Below are 21,908 nucleotides of genomic sequence, written 5' to 3'. Positions count from 1 at the left end.
GAGGAGGAGGAAAAGCAAAGACGAGGCAAAGTTAGGAGAATGAAAGGCGAATTCAGAGGAATGATAGGGGCGGGTAGGGCCGAGCCGGCCTGGCAGGACAGGGTGGTGGCGAATGAGCTGCTAGCCCGGCGACCTGCCCGCGGCCCCGGCGGGGGAGGAGGAGGGGCTTGGCAAAGGGCAACGCCAGAGCCAGACTTAAAAGGGAGATGATCCTAGCTAGTTGACGCCACCGGTGACCTCCGACGCCCCGGGCAAGAGAACGCCAGGAGGGATAACGGGAGGAAGGCCGGCCGGGGCCGCCAAGGCAGTCCCAGGCTCGCGTAGGAGGCGCGCAGACCTTGCACCTTGCACCTTCGCAGCGCCCTGCACCCCGCCACCATGTGCGAGCTGTACAGTAAGCGGGACACTCTGGGGCTGAGGAAGAAGCACATCGGGTAAGGGCACCCTGGCCCGGAAGTAAGTGCAGAGAGGGGGCAATAACGAGTGCAGAAGGTGGAGAGAGAAAGCCGGCTAGGGAACAAACGATGCGCTGCAGCCGCACTCCGTGCCCGCCGCGCCTGTGCACGCGCCCCGCGCGCCTCCACCTGCAGGGGCCGCGCGGACTCCCAGAAACGCTCCTGGAACCCGGAACGCTGGGCTTCCTGCCCGCTCGAAAGTCCCCGGCTCGCTCTGCAGCCGGCGGACTAGCGGGGGCTGCCGGCCGGCTAGAGGGGTTGGTGGATGACGGCCAATAGCCCTAGCAGACACCATTCCAGGGATGGGAGATGGGTGGAAGAAGGATAGCGCTCCGCCACCCCCACACAACTCGAAAGTTTTTGGAAACTGTGAACTGAGAAATATTTTTTCATGATGGCTCCGCAAACAAACCAATTCTGACAATTTTTACTTAAAGTGAGCTTTTTCTTCTTGCATGCTTGGTTAAGTGATGAAGGGTTTATCTAGCCAATAGAAAAACTTGAAACCACCTTCTGTTAGAAAAGCAGAGACTTTATTTAGATCCCTCTTACCCAACTTGCTCTCCCAAGCTGTGTTCTTCCCAGCCTGCTTGTCTTGCCCCCGTCACAAACGACTTAGTAATATAAAGGTGAGTATATAAGACCGACAGGGGCTCTAGCTCTCGTTGGATGTCATATTCCCTGTGTGGACCTCTGTCAAATTAATTGTCTCTTCTATGAAAGTAGGAATAACATTCTACTTCACAGGAGCAAGAAGATGAGATTAATATGTTAGTGTTTTGTGCGTGGTTTTTAAAAAGATACGTGTAAATATAAATGATGATTAATGACCCCGAATACTGTAAAGTCAACCGTCTGCAATATTCACTTGAAATGAACGACTGCAGCCGGGCCAGTGGGCATGAGAGAGCACTTGGGGTTACAAGGAAGAAAACAATCCGCATCCTCTTCGGAGGAATGCTGGACAGTTTCTCAGACTGAAGCTCCTCACCCCAACTGGAGGGGTTTCTGGGTGGTTTGGAAGACTAGTTCCATCTCTCTCAGCCGCTAAGTGGGATCAAAATAATCCAGTTCTTTCCCCATTAATCAATCACTACCCTACTTTTTCTAATCACTCACTGCGTTAGTTTTCAATCTTAGTTAGATTCCGGTAAATGCCTAATGGTTTCTGACATGAGCAGAACAAATTTTCTAAAAGCACGAGTGTAGCCATGGGCTGACTGGATAAAGGAGAATTTTACCTGAAGTCTGACGGGCAAGGTGGAAAGTGTATTAAAAAGGCAATGTGAAGTCTGCAGCTTTCAGCTCACATCCTTAACAAAGTTTTTTTTTGGATTTTAACTTGTAGGTATAAACTAACAGCTGAGTTTGAACCAATAAGAAATTCTTATAAAATACTATTTTCATTTCAGCTGATGATGCTTAAAAAAAATCAATATATAACACAACCTTATGCAATTTTAAAATTTGAGGTTACCTACTGTTTGTAATAATCAAAATTCCTTCTAAACAGTTACATATCAATTTAGTATATTTCTACTACTAGAACTACCTCCAATGTGTGTGAGGGTTTTTTTGTATGTATGCAAAATCACCAAAATAAATAAATATATTTAACTTTAGTTCTTAAATGTTCATAAAGCCAAGATTAGAAGCCTTTGTGAAATTTCTATGTGCTAAAATGTATAATCCAGCCATTCATCCAAATAAAAGTATGGATGACCTTATTATGCTCAAAAAACATATTAAATGCTTAGAAGAATAATTGAATTTCACTATTTAATAATGGAAAATCCATTTGATACTGGACAAGTACCACTCAAAATACATGAAAATGAAAATAATCTATAAAACTTCCTGCGTAGTATTTAACTCTAGGTTATTTGCATTTAGCTTTCAGTGCTATTCATGTCTTTATACATTAGATTGAAGGGGAAACAGAGATGTCTACCTTGGGCTACAGCACAACACAGCCTACTTGCAAATTCTGGTTTTCTCATTTACTGTCTGTGTAGCCTTAAACCAGTTACTTAATTTCTCTGTGCCTTGGTCTCCTCACCTATAAGAGTGAGAAAGATAATAACCTCTCTTTCATAGGATTGTTGACAGGATTAAATAATATTTACAAAATATATAACAGCTTCTGACACATTAAGCCCCCCAAAAAAACTTGGTTATTTTTTTTCTGATAGAACAAAATTTCTCAAAGGAAAATTAGTTATTGGTCTGTGTGATTAGAACCATCAGAGAGTGGATTCCTGTGCCTCTAATAAATTGTCAAATCATGGCATATTTAATATAACAAGCATAAGGAATGTGAACAATGTCATGAATGGGGGATTAACATAAAAGTTTCCAGGTTTACATGAAATGAAAAGAAATGTATGTCATCCAGGTTGTGTTTTCCCTTTCCTTTATGTAACTGTACTTTTCCACTGATGGGGACCTTCATTGAGAAGGAAAAATACTGAGAGTAGTCCTACCAGACCAAAGTGTTTCCTTTGATTATTTCTAGGCCCTCATGCAAAGTTTTCTTTGCATCGGATCCCATCAAAATAGTGAGAGCCCAGAGGCAGTACATGTTTGATGAGAACGGTGAACAGTACTTGGACTGCATCAACAATGTTGCCCATGGTAAATGTCCTGTCCTTGCAGTGCTTTGGAGGAAATGTTCATGGAGTAAAGCTGACTTGGAACACTTAATTTTTGTTTGGGGAATTGCAGTGGCTGCAGTTCCTTTGCTGAGTGGGCCAGTAGTCCTAGTGGGGAAAATCGCAGCAAAATATGGAAGAGAAAGGAACTCAACTTTTGTTTGTTTGTTTGTTTGCTTGCTTGCTTGCTTCATAATTCCTCTTATTCCCAGGCACTTAGAATTCTAACTTATTTCTTGGGCTTTTGTTTCATAAATTTTAGTGGGACACTGTCACCCAGGAGTGGTCAAAGCTGCCCTGAAACAGATGGAACTGCTAAATACAAATTCTCGATTCCTCCACGACAACATTGTTGAGTATGCCAAACGCCTTTCAGCAACTCTGCCGGAGAAACTCTCTGTTTGTTATTTTACAAATTCAGGGTATGCTTCATGGTTTCCCACCCCTCCCCATTCCCACTAAACTTTGTCTACTCTTGCACACAAATCTTTCCTTTTGATTCATGGTGGAGCTTGTCCAAAAGGGTTTGCTGAGTTTCTTGCCATTCACTAAGTGATCACACATTAGGGACCTAGCCTTTCTGGTTCTCCCACTTTATTCTACGACTGTGAATCTAACTGATCAAATGATGCTCACCTCCTCAGGCAGTGCAATAAGTAGCTGAAGGATTGATAGGCCAAGATATTCTTTCAATGAGTGTATGAGTAACTTTAGCCAAGAAATAACTCTAGTAAACAAGCTAAAACTTTTTTTTTTTTTTTTTTTTTTTTGAGATGGAGCCTTGCTCTGTCGCTCAGGCTGGAGTGCAGTGGTGTGATCTCAGGTCACTGCAAGCTCCGCTTCCCAGGTTCACGCTATTCTCCTGCCTCAGCCTCCCAAGTAGCTGGGATTACAGGCACCCGCCACAACGCCCAGCTAATTTTTTGTGATCCACCCACCTCAGCCTCCCAAAGTGCTGGGATTACAGGCGTGAGCCACTGCGCCTGGCAACAAGCTAGACTTTTTAAAGATTTTTGATTGTTGAAAATTGAGCATATTTCCCCAATACAAACATAAGAAAAGAAAAAAGAAGGAAACTCAAATAGATACATTTCAACTTTCATTTATTTATTTATTTTTTTGAGATGGAGTTTCGCTCTTGTTCCCCAGGCTGCAGTGTAATGGCACTATCTCTGCTCACTGCAACCTCCACCTCCCGGGTTTGAGTGATTCTCCTGCCTCAGCCTCCTGAGTAGCTGGGATTACAAGCATGCGCCACCACACCCAGCTAATTTTGTATTCTAGTAGAGATGGAGTTTCTCCATGTTGGTCAGGATGGTCTCAAACTCCCGACCTCAGGTGATCCACCCGCCTCGGCCTCCCAGTGCTGGGATTGCAAGCATGAGCAACCGTGCCCAGCCAGAAGGAGCCCCAAGAGATGCGGGCTGGTCTGGAAGGCCATGCACAGGGCCACCAGCAGCGCCTCGGGGTCAGCGTGGGGACCCTGGGGCCAGCACCAACACCCACAGGCTGGCCATCTCCAGGCAGGCACCTCGGGCTGCCTCAACTTTTTAACTTAGTTTTTTGTTTTGTTTTGTTTGATTTTTAGTGACAGTGTCTCATTATGTTGCCCAGGCTGCTCTTGAACTCCTGAACTCAAGCAATCTGCCCACCTCAGCCTTCCAAAGTGCAGGGATTACAGGTGTGAGCCACCGTGCCTGGCCCCAACTTTTAAATTCTGTAAATTCAAATCATTATATATCCATTCTATAGACTATTATGCAGATATTTAGGAGTATGTTTTTGCAAATGCATGTCTAAATATGTGCTTAAAGTGCAATATTATATTGGGGAAAGCTTTATAGATATATAGTAGAAACTCCTATTTTAAAAACGAAATATGGTTCGGCGTGGTGGCTCATGCCTGTAATCCCAGCACTTTGGGAGGCCAAGGAGGGTGGATCACGAGGTCAAGAGATCAAGACCATCCTGGCCAACATGGTGAAACCCTGTCTCTACTAAAAATACAAAAATTAGCTGCACGTGGTGGTGTGTGCCTGTAGTCCCAGCTACTTGGGAGGCTGAGGCAGGAGAATTGCAGTCAGGTTGCAGTGAGCCAAGATCACACCATTGCACTCCAGCCTGGCGACAGAGTGAGACTCCGTCAAAAAAAAAAAAAAAAAAAGAAAGAAATATATATGAAAATTAACTATTAGACATTCCGTGAATATTTGATTATATGACTCTCTGTGATTCACTTTCCATTAAGATATTTTAAAACCAATTTATGTCCAGCATGGTGGTCACACTACTGTGCCTGGCTCGGCTTCCCAAAGTGTTGGGGTTACAGGGTGAGCCCCTGTAACCCATAGGGGTTACATAACCCACTATGCCTGGGCTAATTTTTGTATTTTTTGTGGAGATGGGGTTTCACCATGTTGCCCAGACTGGTCTCAAACTCATGGGCTCAAGCAATCTGCCCGCTTCAGCCTCCCAAAGTGCTAGGATTACAGACATGAGTCACCGCACCCAGCCAAGACTAATATTCTATTTTTTTAATTTAAAAAATTACTTTATTATTTTTAGAGACAAGGTATTGCTAGATTGGTCAGGTTGATCTTGAACTCCTGACCTCAAGAAATCTTCCCGCCTTGGCCTACCAAATTGCTAAGATTACAGGCGTGAGCCACCGCCACCATGTCTGGCCAACAAAATACTCTTAAAAGTAAAAAAGTCTTCAGTCTGAATCCTGCTCTACCTCATATTAGCTATGAGACCTTATTCTGATTACTTTACCTCTCTGAGGCTGTTTTATCCATATAAAGGAGATGGCAATACTTGTAATGCTGTTATGAGAAAAAATACAAGTAAAATCCTCAGCATGATGTTTAACGGATAGTAAACATTCCACTTATTATTATTTTCTTCCTTTTTTTGGGTAGTATATTTAGATTGTCTGAAATATATAGGAAAAAATTTGATACTCATTTTATAGAGAAGGAAGCTAGTCAAATGTTGGGTAAATATGACATAGGGTTGGCAGCCAAGCTAATGGGCCCTCAGTCTCCCATTCCTCCTGTGGAGATCAGATTTAGTGAAGGCTTCTTCGTGTCCTCAGTCACTATGTGGCTGAACTAGACTAAAGTCTGGAATGGGCAGCATATCCTTAATTTTTATTGGGTTTCTTCTATATGTCTCATTCTTTACTGAAAACATCTAAGGAACCTTATATTAGAAGGGTAAAGTGGGCAGGCAAGATAGAGGAAGGAGAGGATTTCAACTTATTATTTTATAAGTTTCTGAATAAATGTAATCTTACAACTTTTGTAATTAACATCCTAAATGTTTTTTTTTGTTGTTGTTCTGGAGATGGAGTCTCAGTCTGTTACCCAGGCTGGAGTGCAGTGGGGCAATCTCCACTCACTGCAATCTCCACCTCCCAGGTTGAAGCAATTCTCTTGCCTCGGCCTCCCAAGTAGCTGAGACTATAGGCGCACGCTGCTGCGCCTGGCTAATTTTTTGTATTTTAGTAGAGACGGGTTGCCTAATCTGGTCTCTAACTTCTGAGCTCAGGCAATCGGCCCTCCTTGGCCTCTCAAAGCGCTAGGATTACAGGCGTGAGCTACCGTGCCTGGCACATCCTAAATGTTTTAAAAAGAGACTGTCACAGTGTCCTCTCTCTCTATGTTATCTTAATAGATCCGAAGCCAACGACTTAGCCTTACGCCTGGCTCGGCAGTTCAGAGGCCACCAGGATGTGATCACTCTTGACCAGTAAGTCTTGGACACAAGATTTTTAAGCAAGAAGCTTCTTCAGAGACAAAATTGTATTGATCCTATCCATACTAATACCATGAACGCATGTGAAAGAGGACAGATATATGGAGCAATGTTTTAATGTTTTTAAAAATTATGTATTAAGCTATCAAGGCCAGCTTAAATCCAGAGGGATATTTAATTCCTTCTAAGTACCAGGAAGTAGGAGAGGCTCTCTTGGTTACTGTGGGGGATGTAGCTTCATGGAGTTTGCATGAATCATGGATTACTTTTCACACATTATTCATTGAGCCACTATTAACATGTAAGTAATTAAATTGTTTTCCAAATAAGAATACAATTAATTTCAAAAAAAGTTCAAGCATTCACTTCACTATTGTGATTATTCGCAGTCACTAATTTTAAAGATAACAATTTACAGCAAATTTTAAAGAAAACCGGCAGCCACGTAAGATTTAAAACTTTTTCATTAGCCTGTAATTATTAACAGTCACTATCTAATCTTACCTGTCAAACATGAATTTATTACATTTTAAACCAGAAATCTGGCAACTTCCATCTTTATTAGAGTTTGTTTGTTTGTTTGTTTGTTTTGAGACGGAGTCTCGCTCTGTCATCCAGGCTGGAGTGCAGTGGCGCGATCTCCACTCATTGCAACCTCCGCCTCCTGGGTTCAAGCAATTCTCCTGCCTCAGCCTCTGGAATTAGCTGGTATTATAGGTGCCCGCTGCCATGCCCAACTAACTTTTTTTGTATTTTTAGTAGAGACAGGTTTTCACCATGTTGGCCAGGCTGGTTTCGAACTCCTGACCTTAAGTGATCCACCCGCCTCAGCCCCCCAAAGTGCTAGGATTACAGGCGTGAGCCACCGAGGCTAGCCTACGGATATTTTTTCTTTTAAATTTTTGTCTACTCCTCCACCCCACTCACTAACTTCAGATGTAGAGGGTGAAGTTAAATATGCACCTCATTTCATGCCCTTCCCAATTGCTTTTGGGAACTTATTCATAAATTCTTTGCCAAGGCTGATGTCCAGAATGGTATTTCCTGGGGTTTCTTCTAGGATTTTTACAGTTTTAAGTCTTAAATTTAAGTCTTTAATCCATGTTGAGTTAATTTTTGTATATGATAAAAGGCAGGAGTCTAGTTTCATTCTTCTGCATATGGCTAGCCTCAATCTTAGTTCTTAAAAAGATCTCCTTTTCCTTCTCAAGTAATATTTGCCTAATATTTGCAAGTGGACATGCTTTAGAAATCATCCCGAACAGAAACAGATGCCCATTCTATGATATAAAGTTGTTTTTAAATTTACTAGAATGTAACACATATTCTTTTAACACATTTAAAGAATACATACACGTAAAGTATTGCATGAGGATATAGAAAACAATTTTTCACATTTAGACAATCTAATTTAGCAATATAATCCAAATACATCAGTTTTTCCCAACTAAAAAGAAATTGTCAATGAGGACACATGCTTGGCTTTCTATGAGTTTTATTACATGTAAAAGAAGAATTGTACACATTAAGGGCCAGTCTTGCCATGAAAAATTAGATCCCATATAGTCAAATCTGGCACCAGTGTTGAGATTCTCCCTGGATGGATGCATATGGATGAAATGCAACACTGGTTTTCATATACTTGAAAATATCTCTCTTGGAATTATTTTGATTACTGCTTTTTTTTCTTTGTCTCTTCAGTGCTTACCATGGTCACCTATCATCCTTAATTGAGATTAGCCCATATAAGTTTCAGAAAGGAAAAGATGTCAAAAAAGAATTTGTACATGTGGTAAGTGTCTTAAAATCCTAAATCAGAATGTTTGTATTGGAGGAATGCTTAATGATAATCCAGCCAATGCTTTCATCTAGATGAACCATGAAAGAGAAACTAAAATCAAGAGCAGTTATGTGGCTTGCTAAGGTCAAAGGGCTAAATAATGACAGAATGTTATTTAAAATTTATTTATCTATTTAAAATACATTGATGAGTATTACAATAGGCAAATTAGTTTAGTAGTTGTTCAGAGCTATCATTTTATTTTTCTTGCTCCTTAATCTTCAGTTACATTTTCTATCACAAATGCCAACTCAAAATTCAGAGTTGAACTAAGTGTGTTTTTAAATTGCTCTTGGCCGGGCACAGTGGCTCGTGCCTGTAGTTCTAGGGCTTTGGGAGGCCGAGGTGGGCGGATCACTGGAGGTCAGGAATTCAAGACCAGCCTGGACAACATGGCGAAATCCTGTCTCTACTTAAAAAAAGTACAAAAATTAGCCAGGTGTGGTGGCAGGTGCCTGTAGTCCCAGCAACTTGAGAGGCTGAGACAGGAGAATCGCTTGAACCTGGGAGGTGGAGGTTGCAGTGAGCCAAGATCGTGCCACTGCACTCCAGCCTGGGTGACAGAGTGAGACTCCATCTCAAAAAAAAAAAAAAAAAAGAAAAGAAAAAGTAAATTGCTCTGTATAATAATGCTAAATTATTATATAGCTTTATTAAGTAAAATAAAGAAACCAACCAAGTTGTTGAAAAGGTGAAATTTATTTGGTGTGTTTGTCTTAACTGAGGAACAGTATAATTTCTTTTTTTCTTTTCTTTTCTTCTCTTTTCTTTCTTTCTTTCTTTCTTTCTTTCTTTCTTTCTTTCTTTCTTTCTTTCTTTCTTATTTATTTGAGACGGAGTCTCATTTTGCTACCTAGGCTGGAGTGCAGTGGCACGATCTTGGCTCACTGAAACCTCCGCTTACAGCGTTCAAGCGATTCTTCAGCCTCAGCCTCCCGAGCAGCTGGGATTACAGGCATACACCACCAAGCCCTGCTAATTTTTGTATTTTTTGTAGAGACAGGGTTTCATCATGTAGGCCAGGCTGGTCTCAAACTCCTGACCTTAAGAGACCTGCACACCTCAGCCTCCCAAAGTGCTGGGATTACAGACGTGAGCCACCGCGCCTGGCCAAATTTCTTGAGAATCATCAATATTTTCAAGATTTTAAGATCTGGAGTGAGTGCTAACACACTCTAGTTTTCTGAATGATTACGATTTGCAATATAGTTGATCGGTGTTGGCTCATTTTAAATCCAGACTAGTTAATACAGTTTCCATTCACTGACATTTTTAAATACTATCATCACATTTGTTGATTTGAATGTTCTATTTATGTGAGGAGGGATATAGTCTTGATGTATAACAGTCTGGAAGCAAATCCAAACTTCTGTTCACAATTCAAAGATGTCAGTTCTTCACAGAATTTAGAAATGTTAAGGGAAAAAAAGAACAAAAAAACCTAAAGTATCTTAAGTTCACATGATCACCATTCTAACATGTTCTTGTGGGGAAATGCCTTTTTTTTAAGGTTTGTCGAAAAGGCAAATTACAAGCAACTGCATTATTTGATGTTTTCAGGCACCAACTCCAGATACTTACAGAGGAAAATATAGAGAAGACCATGCAGACTCAGCCAGTGCTTATGCAGATGAAGTGAAGAAAATCATTGAAGATGCTCATAACAGTGGAAGGAAGGTTTGTATTTATAGCTTTGGAAACATCTCAACATCTTTTATAAAAGGGATTAAAACTGTTGGGATTCACTGAAGAGATGGAAAAGGATTATATCTAATGTCCCTTTCTGTTCTTCTCTAGTTACGTTTTCACTTGATTCAAATTTCAAAAATGCGTTATTACAATCATGCCTCTAAGACTGTCTACTTGTATTTATCCTGGAAATACAACCATTATCTGGTTCCAGAACTGGTTGCCTAATTCTGACCTTTTCAGTGGTATGCAGGGTCTAGTCTAGAGGGGTAGGGGTCATTATATGGTGAAGGGAAGAGAAGAGACAAAGTAGCCCTTGGACCTGAGGACCAATGCAGATTTCCAGACCCACAAGGGAGCCTTGGTGCTTCCCTTGAACTTCGACCTTCTTGAAGCCATGGAGCCTGGGGCTGGTTTGCACCTGGGTAAGCCAAGGCAGAAAATGTTCTTCCGATGTGGGCCTGGACTTCTAAGACAGAAACAAAATCCTTGAGAGCAGGAAAAAATTGTTTTCACTTTCTTGGTCTTCACCCTACTGTCTTCAGCTTAATGTTCAATTCTCAGCCCATCTGTAGGTTATTTATGTGGATGTTAATGCAACCTGACAGTACTTTGCCTTAAAATTGGCTTATAGCATAGACTTGGCTATTTTAAAAAAAAACCTTAACTGAAATAAAAATGAGGCCTTTTCTTTTTATAATTAACTCAAATATTTTTGTCTTCATGACTAGAGAGCCATTCACATTTCTTAACTGTTTCTTCTTTTTTTTCCCCAACCCATTTGTTTTTCGTATCTTCTTATGTGAAACATCTGTGCAGGTAGACCTAAAGCTCTACGTGTTGTAGGAAGCTTCATACTCTTCCTCTTCAAATGTGGTCTGTACCTGTTTAAACAAATGGCAAACAACACTTTTAGGAAAAAATTTACATTAACAAGATCTTACGGACTCTTTGCTGCTAAAAGAGGGTTTGAATAATTTTTTGAGAACATTAGCATTCAACATTTATTGGATTGTTGCTGTCATATTAGCAGTGCTGAAAGCAATGAACAAATATAAGATCAGTGCTTCAGAATATTAGATGTGCTTGCAAAGTCATGGAATTGTACAGCAAAAGTCTTGAGTCCAACAGCCTCATTTTACAGCTAAGAAACCAAATATCTAAAAAGTGAAGGATTTAACCCAAGGTCATACAATTACTAAGGGGTAGTCTGAACTAGAACTTGGGTTCTCTTGATTTCTTATCTCACATTCTTTGTGCTTTCTCTTCAACATTATCTGTTTCCTACTTCTCTTTTCTTAGTCTCTAGAATGATTCATCTGTAGTTCCTATTGTTAACTGCCCACTGTTGAGTTAAGCGTGGTTTAGGGCAAAACCTAGAAATACGGCACAGTAACTACAGTGTGTGGCCACAAACCACCCTGCCACTTTCATGGTGCAAATTCCAGCCTCAAGCAGCCCTACTTCACCAAGCTTAAGAAACAGGCATCACGACAATGCCTTTGGACCTAGGTAACTTTTTACAGGTTCATAACCAAAGACTAATAAAAATAGCAGTCTTATTCAGTTCATCCTAATGAAACTGCTGCATGTAATGATGGAGAAATGGAAGTTGCGCTCTCATCTCCTCTATTTCTCATGGTAGCTTTATTGGTACCCTAGATTTTCAGAAGTTAATGCTTTAAATCAATTGCTTTTCCTGCATAGACACCTTTTCCTTTTTCTTTAATCAAATGGCTAATTTGCCACTTGCTACAGGTCTATTCCTAGCCATTTTTAAAATAACCTGCTCTATAAGATATACTCTTTTTAGGGGGGTTGTAGGGGGACCTAATGGACTTTGACACCATCTTCTCTTGTATAGATTGCTGCCTTTATTGCTGAATCCATGCAGAGTTGTGGCGGACAAATAATTCCTCCAGCAGGCTACTTCCAGAAAGTGGCAGAGTATGTACTTGACTTGGGCCTCCTTGGTCAAACTGAGAGCACTGTGACAATTCTGTAGGGCCATACTAGTTGCTAAGATATTAAAATAATTCCTGATTAGCTGGTAAATAGCCACACCTGAGTGCCTGCCAACCCAGGACTCCTGGATGCTCTCTCAGCCTTCCCCAAGATCCAGCAAGTACAAGGTTTACACATGGTCCAACAGCGGGGGTTCAGAACTCTGCTCCAGCCTCCAGCCTGCATCCTCTCTGATTGGCTAGTACCAAATCTGTATTGGTCAGGGTTCTCTAGAGGGACCAAACTAATAGGATATATATATATCCTATATATATCATATATGATATATCACATATCATATATATTGTATATATATCACATATCATATATATCGTATATATATCACATATCATACACACACACACACACACACACACACACACGGCGGTATTAAGTATTAACTTACATGATCACAATGTCCCACAATAGGCTGTCTGCAAGGTGGGGAGCAAGGACAACCAGTTTAAGTCCCAAAACTGAAGAACCTGGAGTCTGATGTTTGAGGGCAGGAAGCATCCAGCATGGGAGAAAGATGTAGGCTGGGAGGCTAGGCCAGTCTCTCCTCTTCACATTTTTCTGCCTGCTTTATATTCGCTGGCAGCTGATTAGATTGTGCCCACCAGATTAAGCATGGATCTGCTTTCCCCAGCCCACTGACTCAAATGTTAATCTCTTTTGGGAACACCCTCACAGACATACCCAGGAACCCAGGATTAATACTTTGTGTCCTTCAATTCAATCCAGTTGACACTCAGTATTAACCATTACACAAGCCTTCCCAATTAGTAAATATTTGAAGACTAACCCTGTTAACAACTACTTGTTTGATTCTTTCTCTTCCCACTTAAAAGGTAATATGGTAATAGGACTGGGTGCTGTGGCTCATGCACTATAATCCCAGCACTTTGGGAGGCCAAAGCAGAAGGATCACCTGAGGCCAGGAATTCAATACCAGCTGGGCAACATAGCAAGACCCCCCTCTCTACAAAACCTTTTTAAAAATATTATCTGGGCATGGTGGCACACGTTTGTAGTTCCAGCTACTGGGGAGGCTGAGGTGGGAGGATGGCTTGAGCCCAGGAGTTTGAGGTTACAGGGAGTTTGATCATACCACTGCACTCCAGCCTGGGCAACAGAGTGAGACCCCATCTCTTAAAAAAAAATACTGCAATATAGCTTACTTTAAGTAGCACAAACCCAACTGGTATGGAATATATCTAATCTAAAAATTATGTGATTATATTGTAAAGTCAATGACATTTATGTGGGGTTTAGAGTACTGAAATGTTTTTTAAGAAAAATTAAGGCTTCAGGTTAACAACTTTTTTTTTTTGTCTTCAATAATTTGCATCTTTGTGGGTGGGTTTGGGGATCTCAGTGACCTGAAGGCATTAGACTGCCGCTTTGCTTTTCAGATATGTACACGGTGCAGGGGGTGTGTTTATAGCTGATGAAGTTCAAGTGGGCTTTGGCAGAGTTGGGAAACATTTCTGGAGCTTCCAGATGTATGGTGAAGACTTTGTTCCAGACATCGTCACAATGGGAAAACCGATGGGCAACGGCCACCCGGTGGCATGTGTGGTAACAACCAAAGAAATTGCAGAAGCCTTCAGCAGCTCTGGGATGGAATATTTTAATACGGTACATTTTGGTCTCCAACTTTAATGCTAAGAAGGAAAAATAATGCATGTTCTTATATTTTTTGCCAATGTAGTAAAGAATAAAGCTCAGTATTGCCGGCTAACCACCCAGAACTCTGGCCAAAGTTTTTTCTTATTTTAATAAAACATCTTAAATACTTACATATATATATAAAATTATACTTTAAGTTCTGGGATACATGAGTAGAATGTGCAGGTTTGTTACATAGGTATACATGTGCCATGGTGGTTTGCTGCACCTATCAACCCGTCATCTAGATTTTAAGTCCCACATGCATTAGATATGGCCAAACTTTTATCTAACCAGATTTTATTCTGTCTGACAAAATGCTCCTTGTATTTCTGCTTGTGTATCTTTACCTGTCCTAAAACAGGCTTATTAATTTTTCCAATGATAGATGGTTGCCCTGCTAAATTCTACAGGTTATGATATTTTCATTTCTTTGTTTCATATCATACTTAAATTTCCAAAACACTTTTAAAGTATTTTTATGACTCAGTACTATAAATGTTATACAGCTGTCATAAGAGATACTAAATTTTTATCTTTGGGATATTATATTTTTTTGACTTATCCCCATAAGCTTTAAGCTTGGAAAAATTATTGTAGTTTGTTCAGTATATATAATACGACTTGTTACAGCTAAAAGTAAGATTCAAATCTGAGGACATAAATTGCTTGGGGAAAATGTCATTGCTTAGCTACTTTTACTCAGCTCTTCAAGGGCAGAAACCCCTATTTCCCTCACTGGGCAACACTATGAAATCCTGAACTCCCAACATAATGTCTGCTTTTGTTTGGATGAGCAAATAAAATCACTGGTAGTCCTTCATACCAGTTATGCAGCTTGGATAATATAATTTAGAATGAATTTTCACTCAGTCCTGAATATATAGAATCATGCTCTATTCTAAATATGAGAAACTAATATTATAAGAGAACATTTTATTTAAATTATATCTTCACTTATGTATGTATGAGCCAAATTTCTCATGGATGAGGGAATACCACTCATTCAACTGGTATATTTTCTCATTTGTCTTTTTTTTTTTTACAGTATGGAGGAAATCCAGTATCTTGTGCTGTTGGTTTGGCTGTCCTGGATATAATTGAAAATGAAGACCTTCAAGGAAATGCCAAGAGAGTAGGGAATTATCTCACTGAGTTACTGAAAAAACAGAAGGCTAAACACACTTTGATAGGAGATATTAGGTATGTTCATTATGAAGTTGTCATGTAGTTACTCATTTTTTTCAAAATAATAATAGTTTATAGGCTGGGCAACATGGTGAGACCCCGTCTCTATTAAAACTACAAAAAATTAGCCAGGTGTGGTGGCACACACAAATAGTCCCAGCTACTCGGGAGGCTGAGGCATGAGAATCACTTGAGCCTGGGAGGCAGAGGTTGCAGTGAGCCGAGATTGTGCCACTGCATTCCAGCCTGGGTGATAGGGTGAAATCCCGTCTCTAACAATAATAATAATAGTTTATATTTTATCTTGTAAGTTTATAATAAAGTACATAAAACTAAATCTGGAAAACACCAAAAAAGAGAGATAGCAAAAATTATTCTTATTCCAGAATCCAGATATCACCACTGTTAACATTTGGGTGGGGCCGGATGTGGTGGTTCACATCTGTAATCCCAGCACCTTGGGAGGCAGAGGCAGGAATATTGCTTGAGCCCAGGAGTTTGAGACCAGCCTGGGCAACATAACAAGAAACCTTGTTTCTATAAAATAAATAAATAAACCAACAACAATAAAAAAACATTTGGGTATATGTCTTTCCTGGCTTTTATACTTTTTTAATAAAGTTAGGATAATGTCAGCACCCAAAAGATGAAAAGAAGGAACTTAATGTAGCTCTAAATAATTTATTGAAAATTATTTAAAATGCTATTCTGAAAAGCTGGATATTTTTCATATATATGTATGAAATACTGACATATATATATATAATATATATATATATTATATATATATATATAATATATATATATATATTATATATATATATAATATATATATATATTATATATATATATATAATATATATATATATATTATATATATATATATATATATATAATGTTAACATTTATCATCATTAACATCCTGAGAAACTAAATAGCATGAAAGGGTTGTTTTTAAGCCATTTTCTTTTATAATTGAGAAAAGAAAACTGGATGACAAAAACTAATTTATTTCCAAAAGTAGAAACAACTGTGAACATAGATTGGTATCTTGATTTAGTTAGAATTAAACTTGGAAATTAAATGGAAGTTTGGTGATAGTGTTAACTTTTTGTGACAGTGAAGAGTTGGACAGATTGTGGGTCAAGTTTTTCTTCACCTCTCGCAGGGGCATTGGCCTTTTTATTGGAATTGATTTAGTGAAGGACCATCTGAAAAGGACCCCTGCCACAGCTGAAGCTCAGCACATCATCTACAAGTAATTCACCCCCACACCCACCTGTTTGGTATCTTGGCTGCAGGATGCCTACCCACTTGAAAGCTTGCTTGACTTCCTCCCATCCCTCTGAAAAAGGAAAGTTTAAATACATCCTATTTATAATGTGGGCTTCTTAAATGCAGAATACTTAAACTGCTCTATGTTCACATAATTCTTCAGTAATCGTAGTTATCCTTTGCATACACTCACATGTATTTCCTACACAAATTAGGATGAAAGAAAAACGAGTGCTTCTCAGTGCCGATGGACCTCATAGAAATGTACTTAAAATAAAACCACCTATGTGCTTCACTGAAGAAGATGCAAAGTTCATGGTGGACCAACTTGATAGGATTCTAACAGGTGGGTCCATGGATCTTTAAGATGTCTTCTTGTTCCCTCTCCCAAACCCACCCCTCAAACCCTGGTCTAGTCATAATGAGCATATGCATCTTGTTATTCATGATGGAAGTGAGGCAGGGCAGAAATAAATGTGTAACTTTCCATTTAGGACTAGAAAAAGATAGCTGAAAAGTAACTACATGGACTCTTAAATTGAAATTTTCAGTTTGTATTCATATAACTCCAAATATAAGTTTTTGCTGAAAGAACATAGTTTTGTCATTTATTTTTACTTTAGACTAGCATATTTAAAAGTGCATGTCTGCATTGTGCCATGGACCACAAATACTACAGTATATAGTATTTCAGCATTGTGTGATTAATACATGAAACATTTCTAATAAAAAAATTATATAGGCTACAGTGTGACAGTTCTTTGCTATATGCTGAATTGCTTAACTTTGCGTGGTTTTTTTTTTTTTTTTTTTTGAGATGGAGTCTCACTCTGTCATCCAGGCTGGAGTGTAGTGCTGTGATCTCGGCTCACTGCAGCCTCCGCCTCCCGGGTTTCAGCGATTCTCCTGCCTCAGCCTCCCAGGTATCCGGGATTACAGGCACCCGCCACCATGCCGGGCTAATTTCTGCATTTTTAGTAGAGATGGGGTTTCACTATGTTGGCCAGGCTGGTATCGAATTCCTGACCTCAGGTGATCCACCCACCTCGACCTCCCAAAGTGCTAGGATTATAGACGTAAGTCACCGCGTCCAGCCTAACTTTGCATTTTTAACTTTTATTTTTAAATTTTTATTTATTTATTTATTTTCTGAGACAGAGTCTTGCTGTGTCACCCAGGCTGGAGTGCAGTGGTGGGATCTCGGCTCACTGCAACCTCCGCCTCCCAGATTCAAGCAATTCTCCTGTCTCAGCCACCTGAGTAGCTGGGACTACAGGAGCATGCCACCACACCCAGCTAATGTTTGTATTTTTAGTGGAGACAGGTTTCACCATGTGGGCCAGGCTGGTCTCGAACTCCCGACCTCGTGATCTGCTCACCTCAGCCTCCCAAAGTGCTGAGATTACATGCATGAGCCACTGCACCCGGCCTTAATTTTTATTTTTTTCTTTTGCTTTTTTCTTTAAAAATATTTAAAATATTGAAAATCTTTTACTATTTAACTTTTGAGGACTTTTGTTATTCAGAATTATAGTCTATCATAAAAATATATCTTGTTTACCTATATTATGCAACTAGGTTAATTTATTTTTTTGTTATGAACATACATTGGATTAGAAAGTAAATTAGCACTGTAAAACCATGTTGAAGAGCATATCATGATAAAAATGATAGATATTGTCGTTTTTGCTTTAGTTATATTTTTACAATTCAGGCCAGCATGGCAGCACATGCCTATAAGATCCCAGAGGCCAAGGTAAGCAAATTGCTTGACTTGAGATCAGGATAGCTCAGGAGCTGGAGACTAGCCTGGGCAACACGGTGAAAGGTTGTCTCTACAAAAAATAAAATACAAAAATTAGCCGGACATGGTGGTGCGTGCGCCTGTAGTTCCAACTACTTGGGACTTGGCTGAGGTGGGAGTATTACTTGAGACTGCAAGGCAGAGGTTGCAGTGAGCCGTGCCACTACACTTCAGCCTGGGTGACAGAGTAAGACCCTGTCTCCAAAAAAAAAAAAAAAAAAAAAATTTCAACTTCTCTACTTGCTTCTCAGCCTTCTGGGGTTAGGATAAAGCCAAGAAGCTAGGAATCAATATAGCATACAAAATAGATATGAATAGTGAATGTTTGGAAACTTGAGAGTCCACATAAGTTATTAATAATAGGGTCACTGTCTTTGGACTCAGAGAGCATGCTCACACCCAGACCTGGCAAGCATTCCTCACAAGCAGATGTGTCCTTTGATCCCATAGGGCAGGGTAGAGGAGAGAGTGTGGCTTGTGGCTTGGGGCAATCTGTCACTCTATGTCTGCATCAACTCAGAGCTTGAGTGTTATTAATAGTGGGCCAGAAGAATTTCCTTTGAATAAAGTGAATGAGGAGTAGGTAAAATGGGCTTAGTGCCACTTATAAATGATAATGGTAAAATACTACAAAAGAATCTTAAAGTAATTTTGATAGTGATTTTTTTTTTTTTCTTTTTGAGACAGAGTCTCACTCTGTCGCCCAGGCTGGAGTGCAGTGGCGTGATCTCGGCTCACTGCAACTTCTGTGTCCCAGGTTCAAGTGATTCTTCTGCCTCAGCCTCCCGAGTAGCTGGGACTACAGGCATGTGCCACCACATCCGGCTAATTTTTGTATTTTTAGTAAAGACGGGGTTTCACCATATTGGCCAGGCTGGTCTCAAACTCCTGACCTTGTGATCCGCCCTCTTCGGCCTCCCGAAGTGCTGGGATGACAGGCATGAGCCACAGCGCCCAGCCCATTCTTTTAACACATAACATTTCCTTCCATTCTTCATTAAAGGTATTGCTAAGATACCAAAAAGTTTTTTTCTTAAGGTTTTTATGTTATTTTGTCTTCTCCATAATACCTTCCTTGATTCAGTTTTAGAAGAAGCTATGGGAACCAAAACCGAAAGTGTGACCTCTGAGAATACTCCATGCAAAACAAAGGTAAGGGTTGGCTACTTTATTTTTAGGGGGAAAGTTTAAAATTTGGGGAATGTTTAAAAAAGGAATACAAATTTTCAAAAAATTGTGCAGTGACCATTAGAACAATGCCAGCCTGTATTAGGTTCACTTATTGTTGCAATTTTGAGTGCACAATTAAATTTCCACAGCAAGTGTCACATCATTTGACGCATCAAAAGCCAAAGAACCATTCTTACAGGATCATTCCCATTCCAAAAACAGCCTTGTGGGCCTGCAAAGAGGGCCTATAAAATATATATAGAGAGAATTAAAACGGCCTAACCTCCTTCCTGCTTTTCCTGAGGGCTGCCTGACACTGCCTCCGATTCTCACACACTGACTTTACAATCAGCAGAAGCATTAGTAGGGAGGTTCTGAAGTGCCAGAGTTTGGTTCTAAAACGAACTAAAGCGTAAGCTTCGAATGGCAGTGGGGCCTGGGAACTGTCTGGCATTGCCTGGCCTAGTTTCTGCATTTGATGTGCTTCCAGCAGAGGGCCTTGCCATTCTCTCCTGAGCTGCCCAGGGTGTGAGAAAGAGCACCCTGGGCTGGGAAACAGAAAGGCAAAAACTTGAGAGGCTTTGTTGCATAATTTGTTATTTGTTTATGAGTTCGATGCATAAAGGAACACTCAGTGCCTCGAGCCCGCCTGCGCATCCAATGGAGTCAGCAAAGTCTTTTTTCATGATTAAAATCATCAGGCTGTTTGAATGAGAGCAAGTGATTCGCTAACAGCATGGCTTCTGTTTCGTCTAACAACACAAACCAATTATAGGAATCAATTATTCTTTGATGTCAAGAACAGTTTATCAAGTCTAAGAATCACAGCTGTAACCACTGGTTCCCCAAGCATTAAAGAGTCCTGCAAATGAAACAAAACAAAACAAAAGAAGTGTTCAGCACAAGAAATCCCACTTTAGGGTTAGCAAAGTTGGCACACATTTTATGAAAAGTTGACTCGGAGTCCCGGATTTTCTGTTGACATCACATTTCAAATGTCTATTGAAGATACTGAGGAGAGGGTTAGAAAGGAGCAAGCAGTGTTGTTTTGTTTGGTTTTTCTGTGTCCTTTGTTTGTGTGTGGACTTGTTAAGTCAGTCCTGTGGAGGCTGGATTAGAGGTGGATGCCCACTGGAGCTTTGTGTGCCTGTCTTGCAGATGCTGAAAGAAGCCCACATAGAACTGCTTAGGGACAGCACCACTGACTCCAAAGAAAATCCCAGCAGAAAGAGAAATGGAATGTGCACGGATACACATTCACTGCTCAGTAAGAGGCTCAAGACATGACTGATTTGCATTTTAAAGCAAGATGCGATGTCCAGAGTTACAGAGAATGAGTAGATGTGTCTCATCGGTTAATAGCTCTATTATACCTCTAAAGGTGGAATTGTCAGTTTAGATTCATAAATGAAAAGGTAAATGAGTAATCAGAATAAACCAAGTGATAATCAAACCATGTCAAGATTATTAGTTCAGACTCTAGCCTGTTAATTTTCTTAGTTGATTTCTGAAGCTACCTGATTTATTCTATTAAATTGTAAGCTTGCAAACTCAAAATAAATTGGCAGATTTACCTCTCATGTTTTAATGTGTCAAATTAGAGAGCAAAGTATAACAGGTGCCTTCACTTTTGAGACTTAGTGCCTTAAAATATGTATTCTATAATGATTTCATATATAAAAGTATATTTATTGACTGTAATAAAATAAAATATGATGTAAACAAAAAAAATTACTAGAAAAGTGTTTACCTACCCTTTGCAGGGAATATTAAGGGTTGGGATGGTAAAAGCAAAGTCATTCAGAAAAAAATCACAAACAGCAAATATTAAAAAGTGATAGAATAATTCAGGCCTCTAGCAAGGAACTTGGTTAATCACCATCCCGTGGGGATTGAGAAGGGAACAAGGAATATACACAGAAATACACGCATAAAGACGTTTCTGGAACAGCAGCAGTAGCTGAAGCAGGGCATTCAGAGTCAGGAGACTTCTGCTTTGTCTATTCACGGATTGTATCACCCAAACCAAGTCATTTACCTGTCAGGTAAGAAATTATCTTTTGAGACAGGGTAGTTGCCCAGGCTGGAGTGCAGTGGCACTATCCTGGCTCACTGCAGCCTCGACCTCCCAAGCTGAAGCAATCCTTCCACCTCAGCCTCCTGAGTAGCTGGGATTGCAGGTGCACACCACTGCGCCTGGCTAATTTTTGTATTTTCTGTAAAGACAGGGTTTCATCATGTTGCCCAGGAGGCTGGTCTTGAACTCCTGGGCTCAGGCAATCCGTCCGCCTCAGCCTCCTAGTGCTGGGATTACAGGCATGAGCCACTGCACCTGGCCAAGAAATCTTCTTTTAACCAATCATCTTCCTCTTACCATCAAGTTTATCATCACTTATGCCCAC

The 21,908-nt window shown here is 40.1% G+C and overlaps 1 protein-coding gene across 6 annotated transcripts; it reads left to right on the top strand.

Moving 5' to 3' along the window:
- The first annotated feature begins 223 nt into the window (after window positions 1–223).
- ETNPPL (ethanolamine-phosphate phospho-lyase) lies at window positions 224–21,224 on the top strand. 6 transcript variants are annotated; one of them, NM_001146590.2, is made up of 13 exons: window positions 224–434; window positions 2,971–3,089; window positions 3,387–3,528; window positions 6,785–6,859; window positions 8,567–8,657; window positions 10,266–10,382; window positions 12,259–12,341; window positions 13,814–14,039; window positions 15,118–15,272; window positions 16,426–16,515; window positions 16,748–16,878; window positions 19,421–19,488; window positions 20,665–21,224. In NM_001146590.2, exons 1-13 carry the CDS (start codon window positions 379–381, stop codon window positions 20,791–20,793), a joined length of 1,482 nt encoding a protein of 493 aa, NP_001140062.1. In that variant the 5' UTR covers window positions 224–378; the 3' UTR covers window positions 20,794–21,224. The 6 variants fall into 6 exon arrangements, with proteins under 6 accessions (NP_001140062.1, NP_112569.2, NP_001317961.1 ...); NM_031279.4 differs by having other exon boundaries at window positions 3,369–3,528; NM_001331032.2 differs by having other exon boundaries at window positions 224–456; window positions 3,369–3,528.
- The last annotated feature ends 684 nt before the right edge of the window (window positions 21,225–21,908 follow it).

This window comes from Homo sapiens, chromosome 4, assembly GCF_000001405.40.
Source record: "Homo sapiens chromosome 4, GRCh38.p14 Primary Assembly".
NCBI classification, from domain to species: domain Eukaryota; kingdom Metazoa; phylum Chordata; class Mammalia; order Primates; family Hominidae; genus Homo; species Homo sapiens.
This window is presented reverse-complemented; position numbering and strand designations above follow the sequence as displayed.